Source organism: Homo sapiens, chromosome 4, assembly GCF_000001405.40.
Source record: "Homo sapiens chromosome 4, GRCh38.p14 Primary Assembly".
Taxonomy (NCBI): domain Eukaryota; kingdom Metazoa; phylum Chordata; class Mammalia; order Primates; family Hominidae; genus Homo; species Homo sapiens.
The window spans coordinates 158,945,421-158,967,588 of NC_000004.12; the positions used below are offsets into that span (position 1 = coordinate 158,945,421).

The 22,168-nt window shown below is 39.4% G+C and overlaps 1 protein-coding gene across 5 annotated transcripts in view; it reads right to left on the minus strand.

Annotated features, from left to right (window-relative positions):
* SPMIP2 (sperm microtubule inner protein 2) overlaps positions 1-22,168 on the minus strand; it is a 189,752-nt gene that overhangs the window by 52,287 nt on the left and 115,297 nt on the right. For all 5 annotated transcript variants that reach the window (XM_011531671.3, XM_011531672.4, XM_047449676.1 and 2 more), the window contains one exon: positions 14,866-14,924. In XM_011531671.3, the coding sequence (XP_011529973.1) occupies positions 14,866-14,924 (59 nt within the window). The remainder of the gene's footprint in view (positions 1-14,865; positions 14,925-22,168) is intronic.

The window sequence follows — 22,168 nt, forward strand, 5'->3', positions numbered from 1 at the left end:
CTGAATAAATGAATGGTCTGATTGAAAACTTTAACCCAAAGTAGTCAGAAAAGGGCATTTCCTTTTCATCGAACATGGAAGAGACCATTTGGAATACAGTGAGTTCCAAGAAAAAGACAAATACTGAACAACTACTCTCTTTCTATTAATAATTTTAAAGCACCCTTGCAAGGACTCTTGATGGTTTATAGTCATCAAATATCACATAGAGCCGCATGGCTGTCCCTCATCGCTGGGCGGATGAACAGTTGGGAAACCACACCAGCCACAGACATAATGACACCAATGAGAAGCTATATGCCGCAGATAAGACCTTCCCCACAACTGAAAGCTGAAATTTTACCAAATTCAAAATCTTTGAACTAGTGTGACCCCTACCAGGAAGATGGACATAAGACTCATAACATAACTTGTCTGTTATTTTTTTTTCTGTAGTCTTCTGTTCAGTACATGAACTTTGCCTGGACCTAAAATCTTAGCTCATCTGTTTACTTGTAATTTGCAGTCCATGCTTTGATTTCATCACCACAAATCATTTTGTTAGGTCCAGGAGCTGTTCCCTCGGTAAACCTGGTCTCCTGAAACATGCTGTAAGAGATACAGGTCTCTCCAAAATGCTAAGAAATTATAGATGACAGACCAGTGAATTGATAGTGCCTCTTTCTCACACACTTTAGATGTGTGTGAGATATTTGAGATGTATCTTTCATAATTTATGTGAAGAATTTACTGTAAAAGGTCATATTCTGAAATGAACTGATTTTTCCCCCAACTTGGCATCAAGTAATAGATTAGTAAGTTCTCTTCTTAAAAATCACAGTACAGTCTCTTGAGCTAGCTTTTCTTTCAAAAACAGTAGCTTTTCAAAGACCAATGACATCTCGTCTGTTTGCTCTCAGTGCTGCATTCTGAGATGAAGAATATTCATTTGATAAAGTTTGGCTCTGTGTCCCCACCCAAATCGAATCCCAAATTGTAATCCCCACATTTCAGGGGGGGGGACCCGGTGGGAGGTGATTGGATCATGGGGGCGGTTTCCCCCATGCTATTCTTGTGATAGTGAGTTTTCATGAGATCTGATGGTTTAAAAGTTTGGCACCTCCCCCCTGCCCCTTCTGCCACCATGTAAGGTATGCCTTGCTTCTCTTTCGCCTTCTGCCACAATTGTAAGTTTCCTGAGGCCTCCCCAGCCATGCAGAACTGTGCACCAATTAAACCTCTTTCTTTATAAATTACCCCATCTCAGGTCATTCTTTATAGCCATGTGAAAATGAACTAACACATCATTCATTTACCAAAGACTGACAGATATGCATCTTGCATTTCTCCCTTGTGGCACCTACTATGATTGCAATTAAATGATCAATCATGTATTAGGCTGTTTCTATCCCATCTCCCCAATAGAAGGTAAAGAAAGCAGGAACTGTGTCTGTCTTGTTCACTTCTGAATCCCAGGCCTAGCACAGTGCCTGGTACATAGTTGGCACTTGGTTATTTATTGAATGAATCTATCAGCACCAACTATCTTTGTGGCTACAGGGGTAACAACTACAGGAGCTCTGTACTGTCCTGACTACGGCAGCAGCTTCCTGAGAACCCTACTCCCCCACTGCTCAGCTGAAGGAGAGCTGAGGGAGGGAGGAATAGGCTTGGGAAAGGAAGTGGGAAGACAGTTTTTACTGAACAGACCTAAGGGGCCAAAGTAAGAATGGGCACTAATTATCTCAAAAAAATCGCAGAACTTTGCTACTTAATGCTTATGGAAATCCCTCCAACGTGCCAGGCACTGACAGTCTTAAAAACAGAAAACTGTCCAGATTTATGGATGTTTTGAGGAAAACAACTCCAAGAAAAAAAAAGCATGCATTTATGTACCAATATGGTTTAAAATAGTGGCTGACCTTAAGTCTGTGCTAGTTTAACAACTGGTTTTGGCAGTATTTCTTATGAAATAAAACAGGCAATTTTCTACACACCACCCAACTAACACAAAATACAGGCACACCTTACACCTTTCTGAATAAACAAAAAGCCCTGTTTATTCAGGTCAGTGAATATTTCTTTGGCATGGAAAGTCCTAGCTTTATATTGCAATTTGTTTTTCAATTTAGGAGCCCTAACTACTAACATTCCTGTTGACTATTGCCATTTCTCCCATAGTAAGTTGATAGTGCCACTGAAATAATGAAGCAAATATATCTATTAAAATTCATATTGTTAGCTAAAAATGATCAGTATAAAGATTCAGTAAAGAAATTTTATACTATATTGATGAGTTAATCCTTCAAAAGTAGAACAAAAAGTCCGAGAGATGGAAAAGACGAAAGAAATAAGAAAATAAGAGATTAAAATGTGTAATATCTAACTAATAAAATATCCAGAAAGAGGTCAAACAAGGAAATCAATTTTTTCATCATTATTTAAGAAAAAATAATTTTCATTTTTACCAAATAGAACACTTTTACATATACATAATAGAGTGCTTTTTCTCCATTTTAATGAAATAATTTAGATACATGTAGATAATACATGTAAATAACACTAAAATGCTTATTAAAATGTTAATCCCCTTCTCTCCCTGCTCCAATGTTCTCTTCCCCCAAAGCAACCACTTTTAGCCCATATGGTTCTAGTACTCTATTTAACCCAATACTTATACTCGATAAAGCTCCTTCTGGAGCCCCCACTTTGCTTGTTCCTGTCTGAATTGAAAGTTCCCTAGGCTCCTGCATAGCCAAATTCCTAGTCCTTTAACACTGTCTTAGGAATTCCCTTTGCCCGTCACCCTTGTTGGGTACCTTGGTTCCTGGACTGGACTCCTTTTTCTTTGTTTTACCTGCTTGTCCTGCTAGATAACATTCTTCAGCTGCCTCTTGGGGGGAAAAAAAGCTTGGAGGTACATTTTTTGAGTACATAGATGCCTGAAATTTTCTTTTTTTCTACCTTCCTACTTGCTCATTGGTTGGGTATAAAATTCTAGGTTAAAAGTCATCTTCTATCAACTGTGGAAGTCATTGGCCCAGTGTCTTCTAGAGTCCAGCATTGTGTCAAGAAGTGTGATACCATATTGATTACTGATCCTCTGTAAATATCCTAATTTTCTTCTTGAAGGCTTTAGAGTTGTCTTTTCATTCTGATATTGTGAAGTTTCACATGCCTGTATGTGGTTTGTTTTTTTTTTTTTTCAATTCACATTTGATGAGACTTTTTTTAAGACAGAGTCTTGCTCTGTCACCCAGGCTGGAGGGCAGTGGGATGTTTGACTCATGGCAGCTTCGATCTCCCAAACTGAAGTGATCCTCCCACCTCAAGTAGCTGGGACTACAGTTATGCGCCACCATGCCCAGCTAATTTTTGTATTTTTTGTAGAGATGGATCTCACCATGTTTCCCAGGCTGGTGTTGAACTCCTGGGCTCAAGTAATTCAACTGCCATGGCTTCCCAAAGTTCTAGAATTACAGGCAAGAGCCACCGTGCCCCACCATTAATGGAAACTTTCATTCTGGAAATTTATTATTCTCTTCTGATAAATTTTCTTGTATTATTTCCTTCTGTTTTCTCTGACCTTTTTCTGAATCCTTTGTTAGATATTATACATTTTAACTGATCTCTTATTTTTTCTCTTCTTTTTCATCTCAGACTTTTTGTTCTACTTTTGAAGGATTAACTCACCTATATAGTATACAATTTCTAGACCATACTGAATCTTTATCCTGATCATTTTTAGCTAATATGAATTTTAATAGATATATTTGCTTCATTATTTCAGTGTGCTGTACTTGTTTCATACATAGTATTTATTAATAGACTGGCCTGCTTTGTTCAGGATAGTTTCAGTTTATCCTATTGTCCTGGTGACTCATTGATTAGCTTTCTCTTTCACTTTCAAAAGTGTCCTGTCTTGGGTGATAAATTATATGGTCATACTATTTATTAAGTCCTTCCTATGTACCAAATGCTGTTCTAAGTCTGTATATTTAACAACACTATCTATACAACAATCCAGTGGAGTAGATTCTGTTATTTTACAGATTAGAAAACTGAGGCATAGTTTAAATAACTTGTCCAAGGTATCATAGCTAAGAGGTGGTGAAGCTGGGACTTGAATTCAGGAAGTCTGTCTTTAAAGCCATTGTACTTCATGTGCTTCATGACTGATTAGAATTCCCTATTTGCGGGATATTAAGTGATTTCTGACTTTTTATTCCTGCTCACATATTGTTAGGCTTCCTTCCAGCAAAACTTTGTACATCTCCTTTATTACTTACTTGGGAAGGATAAATTCCTAGTGAACCCAATTTTCTTGATTCTCAATTCTGTGCTCTTTCAACTCAGCCATGCTGCATGCCTGTTGAATGTGGCTGCTAATTAATGAAGTCTAAGATTATGAGCAGACAGACCACAAGAAAGCGGATCAGTTATATATGATCTTGCTTCTATTACAAAGCAAAAGAAAAGACTAGGAGAGGCAATATTGAAAAGAGCTGTGTTTCTGTGATTTTCAAGCAAATGAAAAACTGGGGAAGGTTGTAGTTAATTCTGGTCCTTTAAAACCCATGTTTCTCTGGTCATGGCTGACAACCACTTTGGCTGTCCTTACCTTGGGATTTGCAGCCTCTTGACCCCGAACCCCATCTACCAACAATGACAGTCCACAGGAACTTGCAGTGTTCCGTAAGTGTTCCTTAAGACAAATCTATAAATCAGCAAGTAAGTGGCAAATTTATCAGGCACCCCCAGTTTGTGAAGAGGCATCTTTATTGTGACATTAGATCAGAGGCATGTCATCATTTCTTTCTAGAATGGTGTTTGACTGTAATTCCACTGATTTAATAATCTCAAGTCTTTCATTTGCACATATTGAAAAATTCACCCATGGAGGCAGCTAGAGGTTTCCTTAAAATGTTCCTTCTATACCTGGCTTAAATTTCCTCTAAGGAAGTCCTCATCACTTGAACTCATTCAGCTTCTCAAGCCTAAACCACAGCCATTTGAGCTGTTAGGCATACAATATAGACCAGGACTTGTCTTTTATACACAATTCAGCAAATTGTATCAAGTGCCCATTTATGCCAAGCACCATGTTCAATGCAAGGGAAAGGGAAAGCAAAAGCAAAACACTGCCTGCTGCACAATTTTGGGGGGAAGACCAATCGGCAATGGAATTGAGTCGGTCTTCAAAATGGAGACTGAGGCTAGGAGTGGTAGCTCACACCTGTAATCCCAGCACTTTGGGAGACCGAGGCAGGTGGATCACCTGAGGTCAGGAGCTCAAGACCAGCCTGGCCAACATGGTGAAATTCCATCTCTACTAAAAACACAAAAATTAGCCGGTCGTGGTGGCAGGTGTCTGTAATCCCAGCTACTCAGGAGGCTGAGGCAGAATTGCTTGAACCTTGGAGGCAGAGGTTTCAGTGAGCCAAGATTGCACCATTGCACTCCAGCCTGGGCAACAGAGAGAGACTCCATCTCAAAAACAAGCAGGCAAAATGGAGGCTGAAGGGAGGGTCTGTGGGAATGTTAAAGGGTTCACAAAGGAGAAAACATGTTCAAGCTTATGTTTTGGGGGCTTCCAGTGAGCTAGAGATGTTTCCTACTGTGAGCAGCCACAGCACACTGCTTCCCATTCTACCGTATCCTGTCAGGTTAAACTGCCAGTTTTATATCTTATTTTTATTTTCCCTGTTATAAGCTTCTTGATGGTAGGTGCCAGACTTTTATTTATCTTTGTTTCCTAAATGCTTTGCTGTAGTGCCTACCACCTAGTACGTGAGTACTAAATGTAGTCACACATCACTTAACGGGACATGTCCTGAGAAACGTGCCAGTAGGCAATTTCATCACTGTGTGCACATCATAGAGTGTACTTACACAAACCTGGATGGCATAGCCCACGACACACCTAGGCTATTTGGTATAACCTATTGCTCCTAAGCTACACACCTGTACAGCATGTTACTGTACTGAATATTGTAGACAATTGTAACACAATGGTAAGTATTTGTGTATCTAGACATACCCAAACATAGAAAAGGTAAACAATATAGTATTGTAACCTTATGGGACCACCTTTCTATATGCAGCTCCTCATTAAGCAGTACACAGATTGATCGAATGAAGAATGAATGTTAAATTCCCCCATTTTACGACTAAGTCAAAGAAATAGATGCAGGAGAGTGCTTTGTGAGAAAATTTAAGTTATCCCAAGTAGAACAAAGAGGACACACACACGCACACACAAATGCATACAGAAAAGAATAGGAAAGTTTTGAGGAGCTAAACCTGCAGAGAATGTCAGATTAGTGGCAAATGGTGTTGAGGAGCCAAGTTCCCATGTGTGAGTTCCTATTGCTGTGAAATGCTTTCCCTAACTAGGTGACTAGCTGAAATATGTCAGGGATGGATGAAAGTTCAGATTGCTCAGTGATTTCAGAACCTTGAGTAGTTTTCCATACATTCTCACTACAGATGTGAGGTGAAGAAAAAGGGGAAAAGGCTTAGGCTAGACTTTCCAAAATCACTTTGTCTAAATTCCTCTTTCTGGCTTGTAAAATGACAGGGAAATCCAGAATCTATTTACTTTGTACAGCACACAAACACATTATTTGTATTTCTGGGGTAATCTGGGATTGCTGGTTGGTATTTTAACTTTAAGGATTTGTATTTAGGTATTTCATGTTTGCTGATCCACTGTCTCTGAGGTAAGGAAAATTAACACACTGTGAAAGGAAGTAAAATTTACCAATGAATCAGTACTCCTTGCTTGTTATTTGAAAAGAACATGACTTGAAAAAAATTCTGTGAAATCATGAGTAGAAAGATGATATGGTTTGGCTGTGTCCCCACCCAAATCTCATTTTGAATTGTACTCCCATAATTCCCACATGTTGTGGGAAGGACCAGTGGGAGATTATTTGAATCATGGGGGTGGTTTTCCCCATATTGTCCTTGTGGTAGTCAAGTCTCACAAGATATGGTTTTATTGGGGGTTTCCACTTCTGCATCTTCCTCATTTTCTCTTGCCACCACCATATAAGGAGACTTCCCCAGCCATGTGGAACTAAGTCCAATTAAACCTCTTTTTCTTCCCAGTCTCAAGTGTGTCTTTATCAGCAGCATGAAAATGGACTAATACAGTCAATTGGTACCAGGAGTGGGGTGTTACTGAAAAGATACCCTAAAATGTGGAAGCAACTTCGAAACTGGGTAACAGGCAGAGGTTGGAACAGTTTGGAGGCCTCAGAAGAAGACAGGAAAATGTGAGAAAGTTTGGAACTTCCTAGAGACTTGTCGAATGGCTTTGACCAGAAACCTGATAGCAACATGGACAATAAGGTCCAGGCTGAGGTGGTCTCAGATGGATATGAGGAACTTGTTGGGAACTGGAGCAAAGATGACTCTTGTTAGGTTTTAGCAAAGAGACTGGTGGCATTTTGCCCCTGCCCTAGAGATTTGTGGATCTTTGAACTTGAGAGAGATGATTTAGCGTATCTGGTGGAAGAAATTTCTAAGCATCTTGGGTGAAATTTAGCAGCATCTTGGGTGCTGCTAAAGGTATTCAGTTTTATAAGGGAAACTGAGCATAAAAGTTCAGAAAATTTGCAGCCTGACAATGTGATAGAAAAGAAAAACCCATTTTCTGACATGAAATTCAAGCTGGCAGCAGAAATTTGCATAAGTAATGAGGAACAGAATGTTAATCCCCAAAACAACAGGGAAAATGTCTCCAGGGCATATCAGAGGTCTTCATGACAGCCCCTCCCATCACAGGCCCAGAGACTTAGGAGAAAATGGTTTAATGGGCTGGGCCCAGGGTCCCTGTGCTGTGTGCAGCCTAGGGACTTGATGCTCTGTGTCCCAGCTGTTCCAGCCATGGCTGAAAGGGGCCAACATAGAGCTTGGGCCATGGCTTCAGAAGGTGCAAGCCCCAAGCCTTGGCAGCTTCCACGTGGTGTTGAGCCTGCGAGTACACATAAGTCAAGAATTAGGGTTTGAGAACCTCTGCCTAGGTTTCAGAAGATACATGGAAACTCCCAGGCAGAAGTTTTCTGCAGGGGTGGGGTGCTCATGGAGAAACTCTATTGGAGCAGTGTGAAAGGGAAATGTGGGGCCAGAGCCCCCACAGAGTCCCTACTGGGGCACTGCCTAGTGGAGCTGTGAGGAGAGGGCAACTGTCCTCCAGACCCCAGAATGGTAAATCCACTGACAGCTTGCACCATTTGCCTGGAAAAGCCACAGACACTCAATGCCAGCCTGGAAAGCAGCTGGGAGGGAGACTGTACCCTGCAAAGCCACAGGGGTGGAGCTACCCAAGACCATGGGAACCTACCTCCTACATCATCAGCATGACCTGGATGTAAGACCTGGAGTCAAAGGAGATCAAATTTGGAGCTTTATAATTTGACCGCTCCACTGGATTTTGGACTTGCATGGGCCCTGTAACCTCTTCGTTTTGGCCAATTTCTCCCATTTGAACAGCTGTATTTACCCATTACCTGTACTCACATTGTATTGAGGAAGTAACTAGCTTGCTTTTGATTTTACAGGCTCATAGGCAGAAGGGACTTGCCTTGTCGCAGAGGAAACTTTGGACTATGGACTTTTGGGTAATGATGAAATGAGTTAAGACTTTGGGGAACTGTTAGGAAGGCATGATTGGTTTTGAAATGTGAAGACATGAGATTTGGAGGGGCCAGGGGCAGAATGATATGGTTTGGCTCTGTGTCCCCACCCAAATCTCATCTTGAATTGTACTCCCATAATTCCCATGTGTTGTGGGTGGGGCCTGGTGGGAGATCATTTGAATCATGGGGGCAGTTTCCCCTATACTGTTCTCGTGGTAGTGAATAAGTCTTACAAGATCTGATGGTTTTATCAGGGGTTTCCACTTTTTCATCTTCCTCATTTTCTCTTGCTGGTACCAGGTAAGAAGTGCCTTCTCCTCCTCCCACCATGATTCTGAGGCCTCCCCAGTCATGTGGAACTGTAAGTCCAATTAAACATCTTTTTCTTCCCAGCCTCAAGTATGTCTTTATCAGCAGTGTGAAAACGGACTAATACAAAGGAACTACAAGAACACTGTCCCTTTCCAAACTTGTTTGCCTTTAAATCAATGTAGCTTTAGAGAAACCCACTGACTTTGAGATCAATCTCATGCCCAGCTGTTTAATAACACAATAATTACAACTACCAAAATAAGAAGTTGTATTCCAAAGAGCTAAAGAAGTCCTATCCCTGGAAATAGTTTTTCTCGAGTTCAATGACTCAGAAACATCTAGAACAAAAGATTATCACAGAAAGTTAGCTCTCATTAGAAAATAAAAACAGGCATTTCTGAAGTTAGCCTTCATATTATTTATTAAAGGCCTAGAAGATAGGGTGGGCTCTTCAGTAATGGTGAGTAGCTCCTGCAGAATCCATTCACCTCTTAGAGAAAAAACAAAAGCCCTGCCAATTCGTTGTTTGCTAATACATTCTCTTACGACCTCTCTTAATTGGACTGTAAACCATTCCTCTATTTCCTATCTATGCTTTTTATTCTGCTTGTTGAAATTAGAAATACTGTAGGTATACATAAGGAAACACCCAATTGCAAACAGAAGAGATCATATGAAAACAAATCATCAGGTCACATATCTAGAGAAACTTGAGATACTTAAAACAAGAGTACATTTCCTTTAATTTATACATTTTTAAAAAATCAAAATAGATTAAAGATTTAAAATACACACACACACACTCACACAACAAAAATGAGTTAACCTACACCCAATAACTGCACTGTCTCTCCATCAGTGAATCTTGTGCTGAAATCATCTGTTACATCTATCTGCCTTGAAAATTCTGTGAGCAACCTAAGAGTAAGGACTCTGTGTACAAATTTTTAGATTCTGAGCGCTTAGCACATAGCAAGTCATCAATTTGCTAACCTACATCTTTATCAGTCTTTAAGATACAATTAATTGTATAACACACCATTAATTTTTTTTGTTTTGTTTTTTTGAGACAGAGTCTCACTCTGTCACCCAGGCTGGAGTGCAGTTCCATGATCTCAGCTCACTGCAACCTCCACCTCCGGGGTTCAAGTGATTCTTCTGCCTCAGCCTCCTGGAGTACCTGGGATCGCAGGCATGCACAAAGACGCCTGGCTAATTTTTGTGTTTTTATTAGAGATGGGATTTCACTACTTTGGCCAGGCTAGTCTCAAACTCCTGACCTCAGGTGATCTGCCTGCCTTGGCCTCCCAAAATGCTGGGATTACAGGTGTGAGCCACTATGCCTGGCCTGAGCCACTGCATGCGGCCATTAGTTTAATAGTTTTACACTGGAGGCCAAAAAAAAGGCACTGCATTTGAACATGGTATTTATAAACAACTATATAAAATGCATCCTGATTTCAAGAATATTAAAATGTAAAAAATATGCCTTCGAATGGAAGAAGTCCGGTAATTGTGCTCTAACTGAATTTCTCATGTCATAGAGTGGACTCTTGCCTGCATTATGTCAGTAGACAAACATTTCTCAGCACTAGTGACACTGACTCAAAGCATCCTACTTTTCCTATACTGCTTTTTCTGAGGCCACTGATCACCTCTAAACATTTGTCTGCTGTGTTTTCCTTGATTTCTTTGTTTCCTTGCATTAAACTCTTCCTCTCAAAATTCTTCACCGGCTGCTATAGCCTTCTATAGGAATTGACCTCTAAGGCTCCTTTTCTTCTTCAGTGGCTCCCATTTATCTTGCCCTCAATGTGGGCATCCCACAAGGCTCAGTCCCTTTCATTTCTCAGTTGTCACTAGCGGCTCTCAGCCCTGGCGATACATCACAATCATTTGTAGGGCCCTTTTAAAATGTCCAAGCCCTAGCTGGGTGCGGTGGCTCACGCCTGTAATCCCAGCACTTTGGGAGGCCGCGTGGGTGGATCACGAGGCCAGGAGTTTGAGACCAGCCTGGCCAATATGGTGAAACCCTGTCTCTACTGAAAATACAAAAATTAGCTGGGCATGATGGTGCATGCCTGTAGTCCCAGCTACTTGGGAGGTTGAGGCAGGAGAATGGCTTGAATCTGGGAGGCAGAGGCTGCAGCGAGCGGAGATCGCGCCGTTGCACTCCAGCCTCGGCAACAGAGCAAAACTCTGTCTCAAAAAAGATAAATAAATAAAATATCCAAGTCCAGATCCAAACCCCGATCAATAGGATGTGAGCTCTGTGACCCTGGTCATGTGACAATCTCTGACATTCGATCTCTTCACCTAAAATTAAGATATTGTTAAATCTGCTTCATCAGATTGCTGTATACACATGCTTTACTTCCCCATCATTATAACAAATATGGTCTCTTCTTTTCTCCATTTACTTAAAGCCCACCTTTCTTTAAAAGCTCAACTGAACCTTTCCCCTGGCCCCAGCTCTCCATAATTACATTTGTTTTGGCTTGTTTGCAAAGCCCACTGAAAACTCAAGATGGGCCTGTAAAAATGAAATCGTCTCCTGGCTGATGTTTCTTTTTTATTTATTTATTTTTTTCTTGAGATGGAGTCTCGCTCTATTGCCCAGGCTGGAGTACAGTGGTGTGATCTCGGCTCACTGCAACCTCCACCTCCCGGGTTCAAGTGATTCTCCTGCCTCAGTCTCCCCAGTAACTGAGATTACAGGTGTGAGCCACCAAGCCTGGCCCTGGCTGATCTTTCTATAGCTGTTCTTGTCACCTTCCAATCCCTTCTCCATATAACATTCCAACATTCCAGAATGATCTTAACAAAACAGGTTAAGATCAGATTGCTTTCTATTTTAAATCTTCTAATGAATTTTCTTTGTTCTTATATTTATTAAAATCCAAATTCTCTAACCCAGGTCACAAGTTTCTACAAAATCTGATCCTCATCTCACTACTCTCCCCATTGCTTTCTATACAGTCTGGCAGCACAGGTTGTAATTTGATGTACTCTTTCCCACCTCAGGGCCTGGCTCATGCTTTTCTCTCTGCCAGGAATGATCTTGTACTCACCTACCTTTTTTCTTTTTTTGAGACACAGTTTCTCTGTCGCCCAGGCTGGAGTACAGTGATACCATCTCAGCTCACTGCAACCTCCATCTCCTGGGTTCAAGTGATTCTCTTGCCTCAGCCTCCCAAGTAGCTGGGATTACAGGCACCCACTACTACGCCTGGCTAGTTTTTGTATTATTAGTACAGACAGGGTTTCACCATGTTGCCAGGCTGGTCTTGAACTCTTGACCTCAAGTGATCACCCACCTTGGCCTCCCAAAATTCTGGGATTACAGGCGTGAGCCACTGTGCCCGTCCTCACCTATCTTGTCAACATCAGCTTAATAATCACTTCTCTCAGTAAACACTTATCTGACCCTCAGTCCAGGTGGGTGCCCTGGGAAAACCTTCTCTTTACATCCCATAAATATTCTTTTATAATGAACTATTTTATCAGAAACCGGATGGATTCGGGTCAGATGTTAACTTTTTCTCAATATACCTCTATGTTGTTTGATTTGTTGCCATAAGCATGAATTATATTTGTAATTTAAAACATTTGCTTTTGAGAAACAGTATGGTCTGTTGTTATTTATTTTTTATTTTTGGAGAAGGGGCTCTGTTGCTGAGGCTGGAGTGTACTGGCATGATCAAGGCTCACTGCAGCCTCGACCTCCCGGGCTCAAGTGTTCCTCCCCCACCTCACCTCAGCCCCCTCAGTAGCTGGGACCACATGTGTGTACCACCACTCCTGACTAATTTTTAAAATTTTTCTTGTAGAGATGGGGATTCTATGTTGCCCAGGCTGGCCTTGAACTCCTGGGCTTAAGCCATCCTCCCACCTCAGGCTCCTGAATAGCGGAGACAGGCACAGCCACCATGTCCTGTTAGTTTTTTATTATTTGTAGAGATGGGGTTTCGTCATGTTGCAAAGGCTAGACTCAAACTCCTGACCTCAATTGATCCTCCTGCCTTGCTGGGCCTCCCAAAGTGCTGGGATTACAGGCATGAGCCACTGTGTCCAGCCAATACATTATTTTTTAAAAGCCATGTTGTTGCTTCAATGTCTGCCTCCTCCCCTAGAATACAAGTTCCAAGAAGGGCATATACTGAGGCTGGCTGGTTCACCATGATGGCCACAGAATCTAACAGTGCTTTGAACCCAGGAGATGCTGAACATATTGAGTGAATGCTATTGACTGAAAAGAACAGAACATGAAAACTGGTTGGGAGACTCAGCACTAACCTTTGCCCAGGAAAAAGATGGCTCTCAGGCCACCTTAGAGAATGCAAAGGGGTGGGGCACACCTGAAACTGAGTCAGGGCCCTATTCAAAAGTACCCTGCTAACAAGGGCTTTGAAACAGGGTAGGTGCTTATAGTCTCACAAAGGAAAGAGTATTCAGGTTATTGGTGTCTGACTAGTTAAATAGGACCCAAGCCAGGAGTTATAGATGAGTCCAGGAGGTTGTCAATACATTTAATTAAACAAAAATTCTAGCTATAATTTTCTAAATATTATCTTCATTATTAATTTGGCTCTCAGTGTTTGCAAAGTAATTTTGTTATTTTTCTTCACATATACACCCAGTTTCCTAGTTGAATCTGCAATCTCCTAAATACAAGGTCTCTTTCATAACTATTCTACATCCTCATGACTCAGTTCAACCCACAGCATATTCCCTAGAAATGAATATAGCCAACATTCTTTCATTCAAAGAACATGCCCAGGGCTTCAGTGTTTCTCAGATACCCTCCAACAAGTTTTTAATGTTTAAATAAATGCAGCACATTTTCATGCTTTTACCACCAATGCTTGTTGAAGTTTTATTGATTTTCAGTGGTCTTTAATGTTTTTCTTTGCTTGGAAATATTTGATAAAGTAATTGCAGTGGATGCCTGCAATGCTATCTAAACAAATGAAGTAGAATATTTTAATGAGAATATGTGTTATTCATGCTTTAAAGTATATCTGTTTCTTTGTGGCTTTAAATATGGTACGTGTTTAATAAGTTATAGGAATTGCCCACTAAGGTATTTTTTTTGTTCTGAAATAATAGGCTTTTGACATGGGGTTTGAAGTCTTTTCTCTATTTGATGCAGTTTATGTTGGTATAGTATAGCCACCTCAGGGCTAATAAAATCCAGTGATTTTGCATATGCTAATAGCTAAATCCTTCAACAATTAAAAGTGAAGTAAAATAAGCCCCAGAAATCCTCACCTTCAAAAACCTATGATAACAAAGACAGTATTCAATCTGGAGTCTTGTAAGAGCAATGCTGATTGATCTTTTCCCTCTTAGGAATCTGAATCATATGTTATACCTAGATGACAAGTCAGCTTTTGCTTGTTTCCTGTAATTTAACATGCTGTGAGCTACCCATGTTTCATTTGGGTCAGAAGCTGCCATAAGATAATTTGAATTGAAGCCATTATGTGACTTTAGTAAGATTATGTTTATTAACCAAGATTACCCATTATGATGGTTTCCAGGCCAACAGCATGAAATGAGTTTTTTAATCTGAAAAAAATTAATATTGTTTCTTCCACAGAGATAATTATTTATAAAGTTAAAGCTAATCTACTAATCCAGTTGCCATTCTTCATAGCTTCAGGCTTGCTTCTCCTTTTCTTTACTATAGTCTAACAGTTTCTCATTCTAACTATGTTGCGTTATTCCTTTTCTCCCCTTAATTAAAATTTAGCAGATAGTGCATATTTACTGTGTTTATTAGAAATAAAAATTCGTAAATTTATCAAAAACCTACATGAAATAAAAAGAAAGTGTTAATATACTTAAAAGTTTACAAAAATGAATCCTGTTACCAATTTAGGAAAGAAACACAGTAATTAATAAAAATATATTCATATTTGCTTACCATGGGTTTTGATATCTGTGGGTTATTGAATCAAGAGAAGCTTGACTTAGTTCTTCATACTGTAAAAGGAAGAAAATTAATGTACCATAATTCCAAAGTAAAGAGGTGGCCGGTCTAAGTATCCATATTTCTAGTCAAAAAAGGAAGTCAGGTTGGGAAATGAAATAGAAAATGCTAAATTCAGTTAAAAGAAGATCAGAGAAGAAGACAGGCTTTTGATTCCTGAACAGAGAGGAAAAAAGTACAAGAAGTAAAATAAACAAGACCCTATGCGCTTTACTTTCCCTCTTTGAAAGGAGGGTGCTGGGTAGGAAGAAGAGTGTGATGCGTCATCACTAAGTTGCTTTCCAGCTTTATGATTCTATGTCTAAATAAGCGAGCATTCTAAACTACTGTCATTAGACTCAAACAGGTTACCTCTTTTCACTTTACTTTCTCCTTACAGAATCAAAAAAATGTGGTCGTAATAACGTAGGAAAGAGCTGGATTATAGACAGACTGTGGTAAAGTGTAGATTTGAAAACTCCTTTCAGAAGGCATAATTCAGAGTATTGATAACATATTTGGTGGCTTTGAGTGGTTCTTAGATTAAAAAGTAATTCCCACCCACCCCCTCCCATGTGCATTGAAATGATCTGTTATTACTGAATGAATGACTGCTATATACTGACTCCTCTTCTCTAGGAACTGTCAGATGGATGGCACATCTTGTAAATAAGCATGGGGAATAAAAGTGTCAAATTTATATTGAAAAGCGTATTGGTCTATAACCATTTCTCAAATTTCTATACTAGGATTGAGAAGCCATGACATAAATTATCAAAAAGTATTTCACTTCATTTGTGGATGCATTTTTTACTTACATTAGTATGGGATGCGCTATTCATAACATCTCAAAAAGTGGCAAAATCCTATTATAAAAATTTCAACATTAAAGGAATGATGTTACTTAGTACTTTTTAAATTCTCTTCTCTCCTCTTCCTTTTCCCTGAAGCTTCAGTTCAGAATGACTTTCCTTATTGACTACCATAGAGTTCTTTGTGCTTGAGAAGGCAAATTCATTTATTTGTGTCATCTTCTCAGGGATAAAGACCTGAAACCTTAATCTCTTCAATGTTCACACATAAATTGAACAAAGGCAGGCACAAAATAAACAAGGTCACTATTCCATAGAAACTTTGAACATAATCTGCATATAATAGAAAGATCATGGGACAGCTTTTTTTCTCAATTGATTCTGACATGATCCCCTGAAAATTGAATTTGAATTCCATTGAATTTTATTATCAGCTTATCCATTGAATTTTATTATCAGCTTCTGGACAAATTTTGCAGGACTTGGATGATCTTTAGTTTTATGCTATTCTTATCTTTAATAATCCAAAATTGCATCTTCTTAATTGGGGAAGACCTTTCTCAGAAACATAATAACACATCTTTTTTCCATTCCTCCTATAGATATCAGTCCCTATAAACAATTTGTTATCTAAAATAAGCTGGTCCTTCTCTATCTTAATTTATTAATGAAATGCATCATGATTTATTTGGACATCTATGTTTACTGTAGTGTTAAACCTAATAAAATTCAGACTCAGATAAATTATTTTTTTTTTACTGGCCAATCATTCCTAAGAGTAAAGATTGATTTCAAAACCAATATCTTCATTGAAATGGGTAACAATTATATTTTCTATCTTAAATCAGTGAGAACCTTTTACACTTATTTTAAATGTTTTCAACAAAAATAATTACAACTCCAATTTGGATATTTCCTACAGATCAATCTTCAAATAAGTCTGTTTATTAACAAAAGGGAAATACCTGCTAACTACATTCACATATCGTGAGTTACACAATTTCTAAAATGAGTAAAAACTGTTAAATTTGAGTTAAATTAATTGCAGACATTTGGGGCACATTCTAGTTAAAAATTAAAATCATTGCTTAAGACTTTCACTTTTAATCTCTAGTCTAGTCCTGACACATTTAGGAAGTCTTTTGGGGACTGTTCCTGAGGAATCCTCTTGCTTTCTTGCAATAATCCAAGATGGTTTTCTTAGTATATCCAATTTTTACTTTTCTTACTTCTAGAAAGAACAATTTTCCATCTCTATAACTATGAGTCTTTCTCACCCATAGAACGAATACAATGGCAATGTAATTTGAGAATGCATAGACACTAAGGGTTTTCTTCTATAGCCTCCTCCTTGGTAACATAGGGCTCTTAGTATCAAACATTTGAGTGGAAAATTCCCTACGGCTATCTTTTCTTATGCTAATGTATTTTTTCCTTCACTTGCCTCAATTTGCAAAATATTACTGTTAACCCCTTAGGTGTCTTTCTTCCCACAGCCTGTGAGAAGCATTTCCATTGTTGCAGCAGGGTCACCAAATTGCATAATGTTGCCTATTCTAGATTGGAACTATTACAGGGAGAAAGGGGACATAAAGGCCTTTGCATGAATGGAGCATTTGAAGTATTCATTTTACATTCAGAGCATGAGTAGAAACAAAACAATTCTTTCTGAAAAATGTTGGTGTTTAAGGCATGGATTCAGTGATGCATTTCTCTTGTTAAAGGAAAAAAAAAGTTCAGTGCAGAGACCCATACGTACTTCATTTTATGCCACATTATAGATGGGTTTAGAGTACCAACATTAGTGATATCCTGGTCTCTTTTAACTATAGTTTTTAAATAATCTGAATTAATTCATCAACTTTCAGCAAATAGTCTAAACATTGGGTTCTGTGAGTTTGTTCACTGTGGCCCTAGTATCTCTGCTTTCTGGGGAGTATCTAAATAATGAGCAACATAGTCTCTCATGTTTCTAGTGTGCTTGTAACACTATAATTTAAAAATCCATGCAGGCAGGAAAATATAGTAGAGAGAGACATTAATACTAGATCCCATTTGTTGAGCATGCTAAGTGCTTTACACATGTCTCTATCCATTTAATAATACGCTAAGGTATTACTGTTATCCTGTAGTAGGTAGTTTTGTTTTTTTTTTGTTTGTTTGTTTTGTTTGTTTTTGAGACAGGGTCTCGCTCTGTCACCCAGGCTAGAGTGCAGTGGCACAATCTCAGCTCACTGCAACCTCTGCCTCCTAAGTTCAAGGAATTCTCCCACCTCAGCCTTCTCAGTAGCTGGGACCACAGGTGCACACCACCATGCCCAGCTAGTAGAGAGAGGGTCTTGCCATGTTGCCCAGGCTGGTCTCAAATTCCTGAGCTCAAGCTATTCATCTGCCTCAGCCTCCCAAAGTGCTGGGATTACAGGTGTGAATTACTGTGCCCAGCCAGTAGGCAGAATTCTAGGAGAGCACCCAAGATTCTCACCCCCTGGTATACACGTGTTCTCAGATATTCAACTGAATACAAATCTAGGTGCTACTGTGAAGGGATTTTGCAGATGTAATTAAAGTCCCAAATCAGCTGACTTGAAGAAAGGGAGATTATTCTCAGTGGGCCTAAGCTAATCAGGAGAGCTCTTAAAAAGATCTAGGCTCTCCTTGGCAAAGTGGATTTGAAGCATGAGAGGGATTTGACAGGAGGGAGACTCTCCACAGCTGGCTTTAAAGATGTAGAGGGGTCAGCCGAGTACGGTGGCTCACGCCTGTAATCCCAGCACTCTGGGAGGCGGGCAGATCATGAGGTCAGGAGATCAAGACCATCCTGGCTGATACGGTGAAACCCCAGCTCTACTAAAAATACAAAAAATTAGCCAGGCATGGTGGCGGGTGCCTGTAGTCCCAGCTACTCGAGAGGCTGGGGCAGGAGAATGGCCTGAACCCGGGAGGCGGAGCTTGCAGTGAGCCGAGATTGAGCCACTGCACTCCAGCCTGGGCAACAGAGTGAGACTATCTCAAAACAAAACAAAACAAAACAAAACAAAACAAAACAAAAAACATGTGGAGGGATCATGGAGTGAGGTGCCTGGGTGGCCTCTGAATGTTGAGAATGGCCCCTGGCTGACAACCAGCAAAGAAACAGAAGTACAAGTTCAGCTCTACAACCATGAGGAACTGAAATCTTCCACAACCATATGAACTTGGAAGACAGCCCCAGCCTCAGATGACTTCACAGCCGTAGTTAACACCTTCATCTTTGGGAGATCTGAGTGGAGAGCCCAGTCATGCCATCCCTGGATTTCTGACCTATAGAACTGTAAGCCAATAAATGAGTATTGATTTAAGCTGCTAAATTTGTGGTAATTTGTTACGCAACAGAAAACCAATATATACCCATTTCATAGATCGGAAAACTGAGGCATTATAAAAAATGGCATTCGGACTAGCATGCAAGGGGAGAAAAGGAATATAAAAAATTCTTTGACTGGCTATTTTAGCTTAAAAGCCACATTCCATTTTCATTACAGTCATGTATTAGTCCGTGTTCACACTGCTGTGAAAATACTACCTAAGACTGGGTAATTTGTAAAGGAAAGAGGTTTAATTGACTCACAGTTCCACATGACTGGGGAGGCCTCAGGAAACTTACAATCATGGCAGAAAAGGAAGCAGGCATGTCTTACATGGTGGCAGGTGAGAGAGAGCAAAGAAGGAACCCCCTTATCAAACCATCAGATCTCACGAGAACTCACCAACAGGAGAACATCACAGGAGAAACCACCCCCACAATCCAACTACCTCCCACCAGGTCCTTTCCTTGACTGATGGGGATTATAGAAATTACAATTCTACATGAGATTTGGATGGGGACAATAAGCCAAACCCTATCAGGCCACAAACATAGATTTGCCCTGAGAAGCAATATGAATGCTAATTGCCTCATTAATTCTCAGAGAAAAGGCATGTTTTTCAATGCAGTGGGTGGAAACAAAAAACGAAACAAAACAAAACAAGAACAAAACAACAAAGGTAAATTTTTTAATTTTCTCCCAGTATCCTTCCAAGGAGATAAATATTTTCCTTATTTCATTCTATAATTCAAAATACACCAGGATTTTTTTTTTTTTTAAAGAAAGACTGGAATTAATTTTCTTGGGAATTGTTATGATTTGTGATGGATGACCAGCCATTCTGATTCAGTCCTTTACCCAGAGCTGGTTGATGATTCCTAGCAGGGTCTGAAATCTGAGTGGACTATTCAAGCAACAGAAAGCTATACAAGTGCTTCCAAGTCACTATGTGTGCTCAGTGCAGAGTTTCTGAAATAACCATCAAGGGCCTATTTTGCAACTGTACTCACCCTTGGAGTTTTCTAATGTGTTTGCCACTGTTGTTAATTCTAAGGTTAGGAAGTATGCTCCCCCCAAGTTAATTGTCCAATTAGCTCTACAACTATGGCTTGTAAAACAAGCACTGTGAACATGAGATTTGATATGAAGGAGACTGTGCCCAGTTTCCTTAAGTTTCTATTTAAAAAAAAAAAAAAAGGTACATAGTTTTGAATGATTTTATTGAATAAGCTGGGAGTGGACAAATTGCCAACCTAATACACACTTAAAAATTCATTACTCTTTATCTACAATTTGGTCTCTCAACAAAGACACTGCATGAGAATAGAATAGATTCCAGTCTCCATTTCTCATCATTTACTGATCATCATTTACCACATGCTAAGCACTAGGAGATGGTGGGTGGGGGCTGGTATTGATGTTGTATTGATGTTGTCAGTACAAAGACACATACAACAGATCTCAGACCTCAAATTGCTTAAAGCCATTGGAATGTGGCTAGAACTGTGTAGTGCAATTACTGACAATAATCACACTAAACTTCCACAAAGAAACTTTCCTGTGAATTCTTCCCGAGTAGGTGGTCATAGTGGATTCCTATAGCATATATTTTCAGTGCCATTTCTTCTTGCCCAAACACAGAGCTGAGACCATGTAGTGGGGGACCCCTATATTTAATGAACTATTCCTAAACTTCCCCAATTTAAGTTCCTTGGTTTCCTAGATTTAATCCTGGGAAAAGAAATCTCCAGGTTTCTGGTCTCATTTGCTATGCATGCTATGCATTTTTGTCAACATAGCTGAGATACCCTGGGAGTGTTGTATATGAATAATAGGGAAAAACTACAGTCATAAATTTACAATGATTTAAGAATTTCCTCCAGTGATCTTAAAAAGACAGGATTAACGCCAGATTTAGAAAACAGATGTCCTGGTATTTGATCCACCTGTGCTTGGGATATTGGCTCACACAGAAGTTTCAGAATTCTTTGACAATATACTTAACAGCCTAGCTATGGAGTCATACTACACTTTTACTAGCACCTACCTATTCTAAGTTATAGCATCTCTTCTTAGCCTTGTATGTCACTATCATCAAATAACATTTGTTGAAAAATCTGTGACATATCCTTAATTACTAACTTTAAGAAGCTAAATTTTTTTAAAAGGTGATATTTACATTTAGACACATACTCCAGATATTGTGTCAAGCCTTAACAAGAGTTCATAACTACCACAATGTATTTTTAGCCTGCCTAAATTAAGGGATAAAATAATCTACCAAGCTTTACATTACTTTGGGTCCTTTTTTTTCTTTCCTTTTTTCCCCTAAATTTTCACATCCTAACAAATGATGTGACAATTAGGACTTTTGTTTTCCAATTTGCCAATAATCTTCTAGAAAGTCACCTCTAAAAGAGAGAGAAAGCCCTGTGCTTAGTTGAGAGGCCAGGTAATTGGGGGCGGGGATGCCCACTTGAATGTGGCAGCATCGCTGGCTACCAACAGGCTTCCCATTCCAAACGCATTACTCTTTGTGCAACTGCTTTGAACACGGTACAGAGGGTACACATCAGTGATACACGCCTCCCTTGATGTTTCCATGGTCTGTTAGGAAAAGGAAGCATCAAACATAAAATTTATTTTCTGGAAATTTAGATATAAGTAAAATTTTATAAGGAAATTGTTTCCTTCAATGTATTTGAGAATCCTATAAAGCTAAGCTTTGTAAAATGGAGAAAATGTAACATCTGTATATAAGGAGGTTAATATATTATTTTCAAGAAAAAGGAGGGTGATTTGGTCTCCCTAGACAATATTTCTCCCGCCTCACAGATGGTCAGCATGTGGTACTCTCGCACTAAAGCCTTCTGGTGGTATCATAAGACATATAACTTTATACCAGCCCTTAAGGATGAAAGGTGCTAATGTAATTATTTTTATGTTAAACCACAAACTGTTAGGATGCAAATAACTATAAGTAAAAAGTGAGAACTAAACACGCACTCATCTGGGAAAGAACAGCAGCCCTCCAAAGACATGCCTAATTTTAGAAAAGCTATTTTCTATTTTGCTTTTATAAGTTAGTTGAAAAAGGAAGCT